The sequence below is a fragment of the Homo sapiens genome, chromosome 1, assembly GCF_000001405.40.
Source record: "Homo sapiens chromosome 1, GRCh38.p14 Primary Assembly".
NCBI lineage: Eukaryota > Metazoa > Chordata > Mammalia > Primates > Hominidae > Homo > Homo sapiens.
Genome location: NC_000001.11, coordinates 94,622,096 through 94,638,110, shown reverse-complemented (window position 1 = coordinate 94,638,110; position 16,015 = coordinate 94,622,096). Strand labels below are relative to the sequence as shown.

The window sequence follows — 16,015 nt, the reverse complement described above, 5'->3', positions numbered from 1 at the left end:
AACATGTGAATTTTGGGGGGACATAAGCATTCAGATCATAGCAAGTTCCCTGATGACTAGTGAAGTTCAGCACCTTTTCATATGTTTATTGGTCAGCTGGATATTCTCTTTATAAAATACGCTGTTGATTCTTAATCTCTTTTACCCCTGATATGTTGTATCTTCTGTTGTTTCTCTTATCATCAATATATTATATTTATTTCTCTATTATATTATTATTTGCTATTTCTGGGCATCTCTCTCTATCTTCTAATTAACGTATGATACTCTGCCCTTGCTGGAAACCTGTGGAAATATTCGTTAGGGAAAAGAAAATGAGAAAGAATAAGTGAAGACTTTAGGTTTAGGATGCTTTAGGATGGGGCAGATGTCCTCAAAGAACAATGGGGACAGAGTAGGGAGAAAACGTACATGCAGCCTGGGGACCTGATCCCCTTCCACGGTCATATTGCCTCTGCTCCTTCTGTCTGATTTATTCCGCATTGGGACATTTGTCTATCATTCTCCAATTGTTTCATGTTTATGTGTTCTGTATACCCTGACCGTCAGTATGTTTTTCAAGGGAAAGGATGCTGTCTTTTACTTTGTATATGTACCCGTCATTTTGCCCTAAACAACCTTGTATGCAACAAGAACTAACAGTCTATCTCTAAGACCATAGTAATTCTAAGCACTTAGATTCTGAGTTTTGTGTTGAAACCACAGTTGATCCTCCATTGTTATTGAGTCTGTGCTTTCTAAGTTCAAGCTGTGACACCGAGAACTCCACACCCTGCCACATCTGGAAGCATCCCACTTTCTGCTGTCATTTTCTGGCCCTCCCCATCAGCAGGGATTTGGGTCCGCAGGCTGGGATGCAGGGACATGACTGCCCCCTTTTCCATCTCCCAGTCTAAAAAGGAGTGTGGTTTACAAGGGTATAAGCAAGTATCTAGGCACTTTCTATCACAGATGTGATTTTTGTTTGAGGGCCTAGTAAAGGAAATTAACTAAAATAGTTATTATTTTCACAAGCTAAATAAGTAGTTGAAGAAAATAATATGAATAAGATATAAGAAAAATTTTATTGGAAGAAATTTCATTATTTAAATATTCACTTGAAGATCTTTATTTGTAGTGAAACCCACTCACCCCTCACCGTCCTATGTGAGGCAGGCCGGGAACACTGCCCTGGACCTCCAGTGATCCTGTAATACACAAAGATAAACAGGCACTTTCTTGGAACCAGAATTTAAACTTCCTTCAGTGATCTCAGGACTAACTCACACACAGGGTGTGTCCTGACTGCTAGGGGTTTACTTGAAGTCCTCAGTTGCTCAATCACAAGAATTTCCAAGTGTTCCCAGTCACCAGTTTCAGGACTAGGGCGCTAAATTCCTGGGGGTCTGGGAAAAGGGAGTACCTCACTAAGGATATCAAAGCCAAAACTTGGTCAGAAACAGATTTGACTTTCACTTATAATCCAAACCAGGAATTCCCTGGAAATAAGATCACAAATCTAGGGGGAATCCTGCTTATGGATATTCTGGGTGATTCCAAAACCTTAGTTATTGGAAACTCTGATTCCAAACTTGAATGTTTCTTTTCCATGCATGCTCTCTCATCCTGTGGGCAAGAATCATGATGAATTTACTGTTTTTAGAGCTTATTACTACTCTAATGTCAAGCCAAGGTATATTTAAAAAAAAAAAAAAAAAGGTTTGCCATCACTCATGTGATATTCTGTTCTGTCAGGGACTTCTGTCAAACCATGATTGTTGGAACAGCTTTGCCTCTCTGGAAAGCAGCTTGCTAGAGAGACTTGCGGTAGAGAGGGAGGGTCATGGCCAGATGCCGAAAGCAACATTTACATATTTAGTGAAGGCCCAGGCTTTACTCCTTAGTAGCTATGTGATTTTGGATAAGTTACCTAATTTCTGTGAACCTCTATGTCTTCCTCTGAGAAACAATGATAAGGACACTTACCTCAAAAGGCTGACTTGAAGCACAAGCAAACAGTGGACATGAGAATACTTGGTAAACTATGAAGTGACCCACAAAGAAGGGTATTGTCATTTTACCCTTTCCTCTAGTCCTCAGTGGAACTTTCCTTATCTTTTCAAACCTCTTCCCAGACCCCAATCCCATGAGATCCCCTTCCTTCAGCAAGATCTCACTGCATGACGGCAGTGTTGGGAGTCCTCTACCAAAATAATACTCTACCAAAATAATAGTATTCACCAAGCTTACGCTTACGAAGAGCCATCATGGTTATTTCTTGACTTTATGGAATCATTCAGTTTCTGCTGCATGGCAGCTGCAGTGGGAAGCCTGCACAAACCTAGAGAAAATGATTTAGAATCACATAAGAAAGCCTTGTACATCTGTTCGAGGATGGCAAGTAAGCTGTATTTTGCACTCCAGTTCCAAATGATTGGTGTTGGTTCTGTGCAACACTGGTCTGTGAAGGAGCTCAGGCAACTTGTTGGAAGGACAGTGGGGGGCGATTGATTAGTCATGCTGCCATGGATGAGATACAGTAAAGGGGCACTCCTCTACTCCCTTACTCCCTAAATGGGCATTCCATTTACAATACCATCAAAAAGAATAAAATACTCAGGAATAAATTTAACAAAAGAAGTGCAAGACTTGTACACTGAAAATTACAAAATTACAAAATACTCTTGGGATTTAACACACCTCATCTAGTTCCAGCTTCTTATTTTACAAATGAGGAAACAGATATTCAGAGTTGAGGTAAGTCCAGCAAGATCATACAATCAAGGAGCAGCAGGGTTGAATCCAAAATCCAGCCCTCTAGCTTTCCATTTGAGTATTGTTTTCAACATCAACTCTTTTTTCACTCTCTCATAAGGTCTGTAGAGGGCTGATTTTTATGAGACAAGGAGAGATTAGGGACCTGGCTGGTCTGTGTAATGCCTGATACATGGTTCATGATAACCAGCTGCTCCCCGCTCCCAGTCTGGTTTCTGATCTCTCTGCCCCCTCCCAGCGGGACTGCAAACCACAAGCTGTTTCAGCCCCAGCAGGAAGAATGAGGGGGCCTTCCCATACAGAAATCCCCAGTGATGCCCTGGGGGCCTGGACTCCTGTTCCTGTGCCTGAATTCCCTTCTCCCTATAATTTTATTGCCTCCATCGTTCTTATCCCAGTTTGGACAGGCTCGAACTTGTGATGGTTTGCTTTTATTTTTCTCTCAGAGTGATGTTGATATAAAGTGCATTTATTTCTATTTTAAAACAGTCTTCCTAGCTAAACTGATTTATTCTGTGAGAAAAGACAGTCACGTGTGAATGTGACTAGAAGGAAAAAGGGACCAGAAAGCTTTTTTTGTTTTGTTTTATCAAGAGATTAGCTTCAATTTAAAAATAAAATAGAATAAACCTTTGCTCAACTGATACATTTACCTTTTGCTTGGGACGAGGACCTGGCCTAATGCCAGGCTTATCATGCTGGTCATCACCTCCTCCTGAAATGCTCTACATCCTCACCACGCCAAACTCTGTTATTTCTTTATGTGTTTAAAGTCCTCCTTTGACTTGGGGTACAATGAAGAAGATTCGTTTTGTTCAACAGTTATTGAGAATCTACAGTGTGTCTAGCACTGGGCTTGGCACTCAGGATTCAAAAAATGAGTACAGGCTGGGCTCAGTGGCTCACGCCTGTAATCTTAGCACTTTGGAAGGGAGGCCAAAGTGGGCAGATCGCCTGAGGCCAGGAGTTCGAGATCAGCCTGGCCAACATGGTGAAACCCTGTCTGTACTAAAAATACAAAAATTATCTGGGCGTGGCAGTGGGCACCTGTAATCCCACTGAGACTACTTGAGAGGCTGAGGCAGGAGAATCACTTGAACCCAGGAGGCGGAGGTTGCAGTGAGTCAGGATCACGCCATTGCACTCCAGCCTGGGCAATAAAAGTGAAACTGTCACAAACAAACAAACAAACAAACAAAAGAGTACTACAATAAGGCCCCCACCTTTGGGAAAATAACTGAGCGAACACAATGAGCCAGAGGAAAAAAGCTAAGCCTCGCACCCTATTACCTATCTACCTCATTTAGTTCTCATCCTGAAACTACTCTTCTTGTGGTCATGAGCTGTATGTCTTTTGTTCTCCACTCTATCCTCAGCACCAAATGCAGTGCCTGGCACAAGGTGCCCAGGAAAGACTATTGACTGAATAACTGATTTCCTACAACCAGTCTGCAATGTAGACATCCTTTTTTTTCCTTTTTCACAGGTGAAGAACTAATGTTGACGGAAGTTAAGCAACCTTTCCCAAAGTCTCATAGTGGTAATGTCTTGGGTAATTTGTTTCCAAACTGTGCTTTTTATCCTGTATAGGACCCCAAGCCACTTCACCTTTCCAGACTCCGTTTTCTTTTCTTTTTTTCTTTTTTTTTTTTTCCTGAGAAAAGTCTCATTCTGTCACCCAGCCTGGAATGCAGTGGCGCGATCTCGGCTTACTGCAACCTCTGCCTCCTGGGTTCAAGCAATTCTCTGCCTCAGCTTCCCGAGTAGGTGAGATTACAGGTTCGCACCACCATGCCTGGCTAATTTTTGTATTTTTAGTAGAGACGGGGTTTCATCACGTTGGCCAGGCTGGTCTTGAACTCCTGACCTTGTGATCCACCCACCTCAGCCTCCCAAAGTGCTGGGATTACAGGCGTGAGCCACCGTGCCCAGCCCAGACTCAGTTTTCTTAACTGCAAATTCAGAGGACAAGGCTGGATGACCCTAAAATCTAACCAAGCTCTAAATTTCATAACCAATGCCCAAAGTTGGTAGTGGAATGCATATACTCATTTCCCCTGAGAGAGTATTTATTTGTCTTGTTTTCATTTTTTTTAACATGCATTTCTTCTGCACATGTCATTACACTACCAGCTCTTTGAGCTTAATGTCTCATTTTGTAACCGGTTTGTACTACTCCCAGATCTGTGTTCTGTGCTCAAGGACTTCTCAGACATTTTAAAGTTCATGACTTTCTGTAAGCCTACCTTATCTTAAAGACTAAGTAAACCATGTGCTACAGTTCCCGACACCAAGAATTTTTTGTTTTCTCTCAAGGACAACCCCAAGCTTTGGGTGCTCTATGGCAGGCTTCAAATAATCTCTTGCCTTAAGATGGAGAAAACATTTCTTGGAAATAATGATTCTTGATTTTGAAGAGGAAAAAAACAGATTTTGAAATTTTGTGGGATCATACAAAAATCAATTTGTTTCTATACACTAACAATCAACAATCAAAAATATAATTAAGAAACAATTCCATTTACAATACCATCAAAAAGAATAAAATACTTAGAATAAATTTAACAAAAGAAGTGCAAGACTTGTACACTGAAAATTACAAAATACTGTTGAAGAAAATGAAAGAAGGTCTAAATATATGAAAAGACATCTGATGTTTGTGGACCAGATAACTTAATATTAAGATGGATACACTCCCCAAATTGATATACAAGACTAACAAAATCCCTGTCAAAATCCTAGCTGGATTTGTTTCAGAAATTGACAAGCTGATACTAAAATTCATATGGAAATCCAAGGGACCCAGAATGGCCAAAACAGTCTTGAAATGAAGAACAAAGAGAACTCACACTTCCCAATTTCAAAACTTACTGCAAAGCTACTGTAATCAAGACACTGTGGTACTGCTATATGGATAGACATATATAGATGAATGAAATCAAATGGAGAATATAGAAATAAACCTTTGCATTTATGGTCAATTAATTTTGACAAGGGTGCCATGATAATTTACTAGGAGAAAGAATACTCTTTTTAACAAAATGTTTTGGGATAAGTGTATATCCACATGGAAAAGAATGAAGTTGGATTCCTACCTTACACCATGTACAAAAATTAACTTGAAAAGGATCAAAGACCTAAATGTAAGAGCTAACACTAAAAAACTCTTAGAAGAAATTTTAGATGTAAATCTTTATGACCTTGGATTTGGCAATGGTTTCCTAGAAGTGACACCAAAAGCAAAAGCAACCAAAGACAAAAATAGATAAGCTGGATTTCATCAAAATGGAAAACTCTTGTGCTTCAACAGGCACTGTGAAAAAAGTGAAAAAACAACTACAGAGTGGGAGAAAATATTTGCAGATCGTATGTCTGATAAGGGTCTAGTATCTAGAATATATAAAGAACTCTTACAACTCAACAATAAAAAACACATGTAACACAATTTTAAAATGGGCAGAGGATCTGAATAGACATTTCTCCAAAGAAGATACCCAAATGTTCAATAAGTACATGAAATTATGCTCAACACCATTAGCTATTAGAGAAAAGTCAAAACTATAATAAGATGCCACTTCATACCCACTAGGAGAATATACTAGAAAAGAAAGACTATAACAAATATTAGTGAGGATGTGGGGAAATCAGAATCCTCCTCCATTGCTGCTGGGAATGTAAATGGTGCAGCTACTTTGGAAAACAATTTGGCAGCTCCTGAAAAAGTTCAACATAGAGTTACCATATGCCCCAGCAATTCTACTCCTAGGTATATACTCAAGAGAAATGAAAGCATAGGTCCACATAAAAACTTGTACATGGATGTTCATAGCAGCATTATTCATGATAGCCAGAAAATGGAAAGAGTCCAAATGTCTATCAACTGATGAATGGATAAACATAATGTGATCTATTCATATAATAGAATATTATTTGGCAATAAAAAAGATGACGTACTGATTCATGCTACAACATAGATGAGCCTTGAAAACATTATGCCAAGTGAAAGAACCCAGTCACGAAAGACCACATATTATAGGATTCCATTTATTTGAAATGTCTATGAAAGGCAAATCTGTAGAAACAGAAAATAGATTAGTGCTTGGCTGGGGCTTGGGGGAGTTGGAATGGGAAGTGATGGCTAATGGGTACAGGTTTCTTTGGGGGAGGTGGTATTCTGGAATTAGTTATACAATCTATAAAGATACTAAAAACCACTGAATATTATACTATAAAATGTGAATGTTATGGTGTATAGATTATATCTCAGTAAAGGTGTTTGAAATAAATTTTGTATAATCAAAGAAAATTCACTACAGAAATAAGAAAGACTAACTGAAAATCCAAAGCTAGCCCCATTCTTAGCATTCAGAAGGCTCCCACCTCCACTGTAGCAGGTCATACCTATAGAACTCTAATCTACCTGAATCCCCAGAGCTTGGCTTGTCCACTTAGTCAATGATTCTTCAAGCCCATTTGTGATACATCCTCTGGGTGATCATCCAATCTATGCTTAACTAGGATCATTTTACCTCCCTTTCAAGCATTTATTGAACATCTCCTCTGCGCTCAGCTCTGCGCTAAGCGTTGAGAATACACTGCATTGTTATCTCCTTAACTCAACAAACATTTATTTGATTATTTGTAATATATAAGACATTTTACTGGTTTCTATTCATTTCTGTTTATTCATATCCCTTTTAGCTTAGATTCTCCTAGAAGTGGATCTTCAAGCAAAGATTCAAGATCTACTTCTAGAAAGAGTGTATTTGGGAAATGCAAGTAGTTCTTGCCAGGAAGTGGGGAAGGGGTCCCTAGAAGGAAAGGGAGCCTATGAAGTCAGCTGCCACAGGAAGCCACTAGAGCTTAACCCTAGAAACTCTGGGGAAAGATGCAAAACACATGCTGAGAAATTATTCCACCTGAGGATGAGGAAGCTGGGATATTTATATATAAATTGCAGAGCTCCTGCTGGAGATGTGTTCATTCCACAGCATCTAGACTATGCTGCCTTCCCCGGTTTCTAGTCAAGAGAGGGGAGAAACCTCAGGAGCAAATGCAGGTTCAGGCAATTGGTTGGCAGGACTTGTCCAAGGGATAAGGGTGGGACACTGAGAGCATCAGCTGCAATACCCTTCTTCCTTCCACAGAGGACTGAGGATGGTGTATGAGAATACACAAAATGCAGCAGAATGCCGTGAGTTAGGTAAAGGTGAAGAGAAAAGCAAAGATAAAAGGGAAACTAAGCCTTTATGACAAGGCCAAGGCAATGACTATCTTCCTAGTAGACTCAGAAAACAGATGCTGCTTCTGTTCTCGGCTTCAAGATAAGCCTACATTCCATCACACACTAAAACACAGTTTCATGAAAGCACTTCTCTAGGAAGTCAGCTGTTTGCAGTGCAGATACAGAGCTCTCTGATTCTTGCTGAGCAGGATCAACATGCGTGGCTGGGAAGGAGCAGTATTAGAGGATGCAGTCTTAGGGCGGCAGCGCATGACGACCTCTATGGCTGTCGGCAAGTCTGGCTCCAAGGGTCCAGCTGAGAGTGGGGGATCCCTGCGGTGTGGTTCCCTAAATGACTCCTCACCTGGAAACATGCTCCTGAAGAAGATCCTGGCACTACTTCACTGCCAGACTGGGTGGAAACTCTCACTGAAGCCAGGAAGGAAATCGTGGTGCAGCCGGCCTCCGGCCAGGCAGGTCTCCCAGTCTCCCAGCCTTGCCATTGGAGTCCTAGTCCCGGCTGATGGTGTCCCTTGGAAGCTGTGCTTGAGGGCAGCGGGAGTGATGGGCAGGTACATGCTCTGCTACTGTTGCCTAATAGAATCACCAGCATTGCAGGGGATTCTCAGCCACTTTTCCTCTCCAGGGCCACCTGATGATGACACTCTTTCACTGGCCTTATTTCATCAGAATTTCACAACACCCTAGGCGGCAGGTAGGTGGGGCTACATCCCTCTCCCCACCTGACAGAGGGAGAAACCAAGGCTCAAGGTCACATCGGCAAAGAGAAAGAGCTGGAGTTGACAGCCAGGTCTTCCGACTTAGTCCAGGGTTCTTTCTGAGGTAGGAAACTTCCCTGTGTACTCATCCCTAAAACAACCATGGCAAAATTATTGTCAGGCTACAGCTCCACCAAAGTGTCTGAACACTGGAAACTGATTATTTTAATTGGGAATGTGATCTCATCTGGCTGCAATCTACATGGCCTTGCCATTCAAACATTTAAAAATACAGATGATTTTTTTTTCCATTATGAAAGTCATAGTGCTCATTATAAAAAATGTGCTTAGAGTGGATTTGTGGATTTTTGTGCTTTGGAAGGAAGGTCTTCAGTCAGTTCTTAGGGGGAAGATGATCCCATCTTAAATGAATGAATGTTCTCAGGGAAGGGTGATGCCAAGGCCTCATATTGTGTTTCTAGGAAAGGGTAGACCCATCTCATTCTCTGAATCAAGGTGGTATTGTGATTCTAGGGCACAACGGACCCATCTCACTCTTCAGAAGGGTAAACAAGTCCCAACAGCTTGAGGTTCTGGCTTAACAGTCCGTCTCACCCTTGCCAGCAGGCTGGTGAGCCTTCTTAAACAGAATGAGAGCTTTTGTATAAAACAGCTGGGCGGGGTGGCTGTGCTGCAGTGGGGAAGGAATCCCTCACTGATGTCTCAGCTGCCCAGGAGCCCATCGCTGAGAGTGGCCTAACAGTGAGTTTGCTGTCCTCAAAGTGCCCCAATGACAGGACCGAGGGAGGGAGTGCTCTGGGGAAGCATTCCAACGACCAGGGGTCATGCCGGACCAAATCCCTGCCCCTGCCCCTGCCCCTACCCCAGGGCCAAGCTAACCTGCTAGGGTGCCCTAATGGAGGTGAGAACTCCCTGGACCCCAGAGGGCCCAGCAAGGTGTGAGGAGGTGACACTCCACAGGGGCTCTGCTCTTCATACCTCCTCAACACTCCAGGACACTCATAAGGCCCAGTACGGCTGGGCCAGCATGGCAGGGAATGATGGCTAGAATCCCATTTCCATATCTGGAGTCCAGATAGCAACTGTCAGTGCTCCCTGAGCCAGGAGCTGTGAGGATGAGACATCAGTCTGACAAAATACAGAAGAGTTACCAGGATCCCCGCCTGCATCTCCCATCCCAGGAGGCGCAGCTAAGAGCACTGAGTCCTAGTCTCCAGCACACTCTCCCACCCTGGGCCTCCCTGAAGATGGGAGGGAGGGTGGCTCCAGCTCTCTTTACCACTCAGGAACCTAATGAGAGGGCACTCCACCTTTCTTGTTCCCTAAGTCAGCAGCATCTTGTAGCACCTCAAACTGGTCATAGTCATTTAGGATTTTGAAAGCCAGATACCTGCCGTGCTGATAAGATGTTTATCAGTGGAAAGGGTAAGTGCTGGTATCAGCGGAGCATGTGGGTGGAGGCAGGCAGCAGCTCAGGAGTTCAGATCCTCGCTGCAGGTGAGTGCGGGGCATGTGTCCTGCGGGCTCTCCTGCTCGGGGCATAAGTGGGATTGAACAGCTTTCATTTGGCCCTGCGGACATGATCAATGTCCAGTAGCCTTTTGGCTCCTCTCTTTCATGGTTCACAGTAAGCTGGGCTTCTCCCTACTCCTGTGAGGCAAGGTGATGGCTTGTGATTGAATCTTGGCTGGTTTATTGTGAGGATCGCGTGCATTTGTGTTAAATTAAGTTGAATTCAATAATATGCAAGCCACATGTGGTAGGAGAATAATGGCTCTCCGAAGTTGTCCATGTCCTAATCTCCAGAACCTGCAAATATGTTAGGTTGCATGGAAAAGGGGAATTACACTTGCAGGTGAAATTGAGGTTGCCAACCGACTTGATCTAAAGATTATCCTGGATTATCTGGGTGGGCCCAATGTAATCACAAGTGTCCTTAAAAGTGGAAGAGGAAGGCAGAAGAGAAGTCAGAGTGGTGCAGGGAGAAGGTCTCAACCTTCCATTGCTGATTTTGAAGATGGAAGAATGGCCACGGACCAAGGAATGTGGGAATGTTGGCTACTTCTAGAACCTGAAAATGGCAAGGAAACAGATTCACCTCTATGGCCTCCAGAAAGGCCTAAGATCTTGATTTTAGCTTAGTGAGTCCTATGTTGGACTTCTAACCTATAGAGCTATAAGATGATAGAGTTGTGTTGTTTTCAGCCACTGTGTGGTAATTTGTTACAGCAGCGTTAGAAAACGAATAAACCATGCATCAACAAATCTTCGGAAGCAGCTCCCCAAGCTTGAAGAATGTTTCAGAGTTTTCAGATCTTTGCTCCAAACAAGGCAACCACTCTTGCTCCATTTTTAAGTTTCTCCAAATTTTGTGTTTCAAAAGGAAGATATATTATTAACGTTTCTAGAATTAATGGCTGCAAAAATGGCTTGAGGAGTCTCAAGTAGGTGGGAAACAAGTATGATAAGGTTTTTTCTTTCTCCAGTCACCACTTTGCCCATCCTGTAATGACTGTCTTAAGTATATTCCATAATCTAACAATCACATTTATTCATTGTCCAGCCCAGTCTGGTTCAAAATGCCAACCTCGGATCCAATTTAAATCTCATTTCTTACCTCTCCTTGGGAAAGTCAGCCCTCAGCAAGGGATTTGAGGGAGGTCGAGTGTGTGGTCAGTCCTCTTATTCTTCACTTTCCCTTTCATGGGTTAAGTGCCTTTAGGTTGGAGGGGGACAGGGACCATCTAACATGGCCAGCCACCTGTCTGTGTGGGATGTTTCTAGTGTCACCCTGGCTCGGTCAGGGTCTATATGATCCTGGAAATTTTGATGGTACACTGATCTTATCATAAATGATGGGCAAGGTTTTTTGGAAGCTGTATCCAGCCATACCCCTGTTCTGAGTCCCCCTTCAGGGCAGCCATATCTCCCTTTGACCAGCATTGTGGCTTGTGCCTTTAACTTCCTCTCTGGGCAGGGCATTGCCTCACTTGGCCAATTAGCTTACTGCCAAGCAACTGATGGACAGTAACCTCGTTCCTCCACCCAGGCCACTTCCACAGGCCTTCTGCCTTCAGAAATCTCCAGGTTTTGGCCTCAACGTTCATGGGTGCCTCCAAACTCCCAGCACACAAGCCAGGTTCTTCAAGAGCTTTCCCAGGGTCACCATGTTCTGCTCTACTCCGAGGGCACCCCCAGTCTCAGAGCACATCCAAGTCTCCACCTAGCTTTGGGGAGGAAGTCACCTCCCCTTGTGAACACCACATTGACTAACACTTGCCCTCTTTCTCCTTCTTTCCCTAGCTCTCTGCTTATATTACAGAGGGGAGCTGGGGTGAAGGCTGGGGGGAGCCAGCAGGACGAGTTCTGAAGCCTCTTATTAAGCCTTGAGCAAGGGGTCTAGCCCCTCTTTAAAATGAGGGGTTCCTAATTAACACCCTTCCTTTCAAATGCAGCCTGGCCTCCCATTCCTCTTCCACTTTCTTTTCCAGCTGCTTTTCAAAGAGCCCACCTTTTGGTGTTGACTTTTCATGGACTCCACTTGTCAGTTGTAACAGCTACCCTCACAAGTGAGCCAAAGGATTCAAAATAAGGTTTCCTGTGAGCACAGTCCATAAGGATTGGGATTTGTATTTATGAACATGGAAGAAGCCCAGCCCCATAGAAGTGAAACACAAAAGAACGGAGGAGTTTTATTAAATGCTATGGTCTGAATATTTGTGTCCGTCCCAAATTCTTATGGTGAAATTCTAACCACCAAGGTGATGGTGTTAGGAGGTGGGGCCTCTGGGGAGGTAATTAGGTCATGAGGGCCCTTAGGAAACGGGCCCGGGAGCTCACGTGCCCCTCCCACTCTGTGAGGACACAGCGAGGTGCCATTTATGAACCAGAAAGTGGGCCCTCAGCAGACACCAAATCTGCCAGTGCCTCGATCTTGGATTTCTCAGCCTCCAGAACTGTGAGGAATAAATTTCTGTTGTTGACAAACCACCCAGCTTGTGGCACTTTGTTATAGTAGCCTAAGTGGACTCAGCTACTAAACTTAACAGAATAACAGGTGAGATGGGGAGAACTGCTGCGCTTCAGGCCCCTCCCAGGAGACCACCCTCACCTTTCTCTGAGCTACCTAGGGGCTACAGGGAAACGGACTTTGACTCTGAATGGAGCTGTGCAGGGGCTTCTATCTGTGACCCAGCCCCTTGGGCCTCAGAGCCAGCAGGTGTGGACGAGGCTACATTCACAGTAGCGGCCCACCTGCAGCTGCCTCTTACCCACCCACACAGGCCTTTCTCCAATGCACACTCCAGCCCCAGCTGTCTCTGCATCCCCAAAGCATTCCCTGCCAGCAGAGGAACCCCTGGGTGCTGCAGGAGCTGAGCTGGTGCTGCTCTCTGATGTGCTGGAGCCTCTCGGGGTCTGCGGAGAGGCGTGAGGCCTGCTTCGCTCTCCTCCTTGGGCACTGTCAGACAGTCCCAAACTAGAGCTTCTTGTGCCCTGTCTTACAGGTGCTTTGCGTTTTGTTTATATAACACTTAGCATTTACAGCATTCTAAGCAGTTTACAAACACGAACTCCAATGACTTCAGAGCAGCCCTCTCAGGCACTGCGGGCATCACCATTTAATGATGAGGAGGCTGAGGCGTAGAGAGGAGAGGTAACCTGCCCACAGTCACACAGTTGGTGGGTGACAGGATGAAGCTGAGATTTTTAAAGAATATTTTATCATATATATATATGTGTGTATATATATTTTACTGGCCACCCTTTCTCTCCTGTGACCCAGATGAGGTCTCCAAGGGACCAGATGGAGAACAGATGCAACCACACTGAAGTCAGAATCGCAGCTTGCCTCCGACACCTGACGCTTCACTGTTGGCGAGGCCCACTATGCCTCGCTCTCCCCCTGTAATGAGTTCTATCCCAGAGGCTCCTATACCCTTTAGAAATAAACTGCTCAGGCAGCCCAACCAGTTCATCCAAGAGGCCTGGAACCACAGCAGCGTCGACAGCTGAGATGAGAGTTGGTCCCTGATCTGATACAGAGCCTGGGTTTAGCTTTGATTTCTCTCTTCCTAGGCAAGATCTTTAGAGAATAACTTTTTGTGCCTGGCCATCTCCTGCTCTTTTCTCAACCCAAAAGGGCTATGTTCACCTAAAGAGGAAAAGCAAGAAGGCTTCCTGGGCTCGGGAGGTCAGGGCTGGAAAGAACTGCTCACCATTTCTGAGCCGATGAGGACTCACCTGGGCTCCTCACTGGTCAGGGAACTGTGGCCCAGCCGCAGAGTGATTGCTTTGTCAAGAAGGGAAACATTTACCTTTCCTTCTTCCCTCTGCTCTCTCCTAATTAACAATTAAATGGAAGGAGTTGAAAAGACATGTCAGAGACTTCAATCTCCTCCCGGCCTGAGGATGAAGGGGGCTCGAACCTGAATGTTCTCTTCGCTGTGGCCAGAACCTAGGGGGCTGGGGTTGCTGCCAGCTCGACTGGAGGCCTGCTTCCAGCCCCAGGCTGTGGTGAGGGGCCTCACAGATTTCACAAACAGGAGGGCGGCTGACCAAGCGCCAAACTATTTAGACAAACACACACCCTCCCTTCCCGCCAGAGTTTGGGCTGATTTCTCCCAATGCTAATGAACAGCTCATAAGTATTAATAGACTCCTTGGCACCTAGGAGTCAGGCAGAGTAACTTCCAGTGTGAATTTTGGCCAAGGACCCTGATGCAGCCTCAGGATCTTCCAAGCCCCTGTTGAGTCCAGGGGGCATGAGACACACAGGGAGGCTGGGGCTGCTCCCAGGAAGCAGGCTCACAAGAGCCAGACAGGCTCCCACAGACAGCTTTTAGGTCACAGAAACCTCTGCCTGCCAGGTAGGCATGAACACAGAAACCCTCCCAAATCCTCAGACTGTGGAGCACACTCCAGGTGAGCCAGGATCAATCCCTGGTCTCAGAGAACACTTAGATGGGGGTGAAAAGCAGGAACTGAGAGCTTCCCACCCAGCACCTGTCCCTGCTACCAGCTAAACCTGTGTCGGTCAGTGCAGGAATTGTACAGGTGATGCTCTGAGCCTGTGCTGAGGCCATGTATGGACTGAGGAAACCTCACTGTGTGTATGTAAAGTTAATTCAAACCTATTTCCCTGAGTGCTTACATATTTTCATAAGGAAAGTTCTGTTAGGAGAGCTGCCTGAAACAACACCTCTGCCTGTGCTCCCACTTTCTCCCGCTGGTGTGGGGAGGAGAGGCTGACATCGCTGGGTCCACGTTCCTCTGCCCTGGGTGGGGTATTAATGCTGCCATTCCCACGCTGCCTGCTGTTTCCCCTCATCCTCAGGAGGGCTGGTCTCTGTGCTGCAGGCAGCTCCACCAGGCCTGGGAGCATGACACCGTCTGCCAATGCCTTGCCCAGGTCCACTGGCCTCACCCTTCCGCAGGCCTGCGCCTTCTGTGACTCTCTGCCTCAGCAATTTCTCTGGATTTCTTTGTCCTCAGGAATGTGCTGGGGCCACAGGCAGGTCAGGCCAGGCTTTCTGGGGAGTGAATGCTCTCTGCCAGTGGCGGATGGAACTGGTAGACACGTCCCCCGGATTCCTCGCCTGCAAGTGGGATGGTGCCAGGAAAGTTCTACACCATCCTTCCCAGGTCCCAGGAGGACAAGCACAGTTGTCCACAAGGTAACCAACCTGCTCATTCAACACACTGTGTATTTGCTTCCCTCCCTCATCAGCCCCTTTAAACCCCACAGTAGGTAGGAAATGACAGAAAACAAGAGAAAATGCTAGAGATAAAGGAACTTCTTTAGGATTCCGTCAAGACTACATCCCTGAGAAAAGCAGACTCTGGTGAATCATTTAGGCCCACAGTGTGTTCTGATCATTGTCCTGGGCTAAATCATCAACCCAAGGCCTGCTCGCCCTTTGAGTCCACGCAGGACAGGAACTGGGCACATTTATCCTTACTTTTGCAGGGCCTGGTACCTCACAGCACTTAGTAGGTTCCGATAAATGCTCAGCCATGCTGAGTTAACTCCACAGTAGCTCAGCTGGAAGGAGTTCTTCAAAGACCACTGAGATGAGAAAGAATGACTTTGTTGAAGACCTTCTCTGTCCATCCAAAGCTGTCAAGGGTCAATTGTTCGGGCATTGCTACCTCCCATTTGTCTCTAGCACTGGAGGAGTCTGCTTTAAGTTCCAGGTTCTTGAGCCAACATAGGGCTCCTGGCTTAGGAACTGTGTGTAGTATTCAGGCAGGAGAAGCCTGGAGCTGGGCCTGCCTTAAGGGTAGAAGGTCCAATCCT

At 45.1% G+C, this 16,015-nt stretch overlaps 2 long non-coding RNA genes across 3 annotated transcripts in view, besides 1 other annotated feature; one reads left to right on the top strand and one right to left on the bottom strand.

Annotated features, from left to right (window-relative positions):
* Positions 1-16,015, top strand: part of SLC44A3-AS1 (SLC44A3 antisense RNA 1) — a 203,881-nt gene that overhangs the window by 182,122 nt on the left and 5,744 nt on the right. For both annotated transcript variants that reach the window (NR_160780.1, NR_160779.1), the window contains exon 5: positions 13,502-15,392. This is a non-coding gene — a long non-coding RNA (SLC44A3 antisense RNA 1). The remainder of the gene's footprint in view (positions 1-13,501; positions 15,393-16,015) is intronic.
* The window catches only part of LOC105378861 (uncharacterized), a 73,963-nt gene continuing 58,993 nt past the window's right edge, over positions 1,046-16,015 (bottom strand). The window contains exons 2-3 of the long non-coding RNA XR_001738160.3: positions 2,230-2,320; positions 1,046-1,187 (exon numbers count right to left, since the gene is read on the bottom strand). This is a non-coding gene — a long non-coding RNA (uncharacterized LOC105378861). The remainder of the gene's footprint in view (positions 1,188-2,229; positions 2,321-16,015) is intronic.
* Positions 12,476-12,983: an enhancer, noted in NCBI's record as "H3K4me1 hESC enhancer chr1:95090684-95091191 (GRCh37/hg19 assembly coordinates)". NCBI's record gives its function as "activates a minimal SCP1, AML or CMV promoter by ChIP-STARR-seq in naive H9 embryonic stem cells {active_cell/tissue: H9 hESC(naive)}" and the evidence as "EXISTENCE:reporter gene assay evidence [ECO:0000049][PMID:30033119]".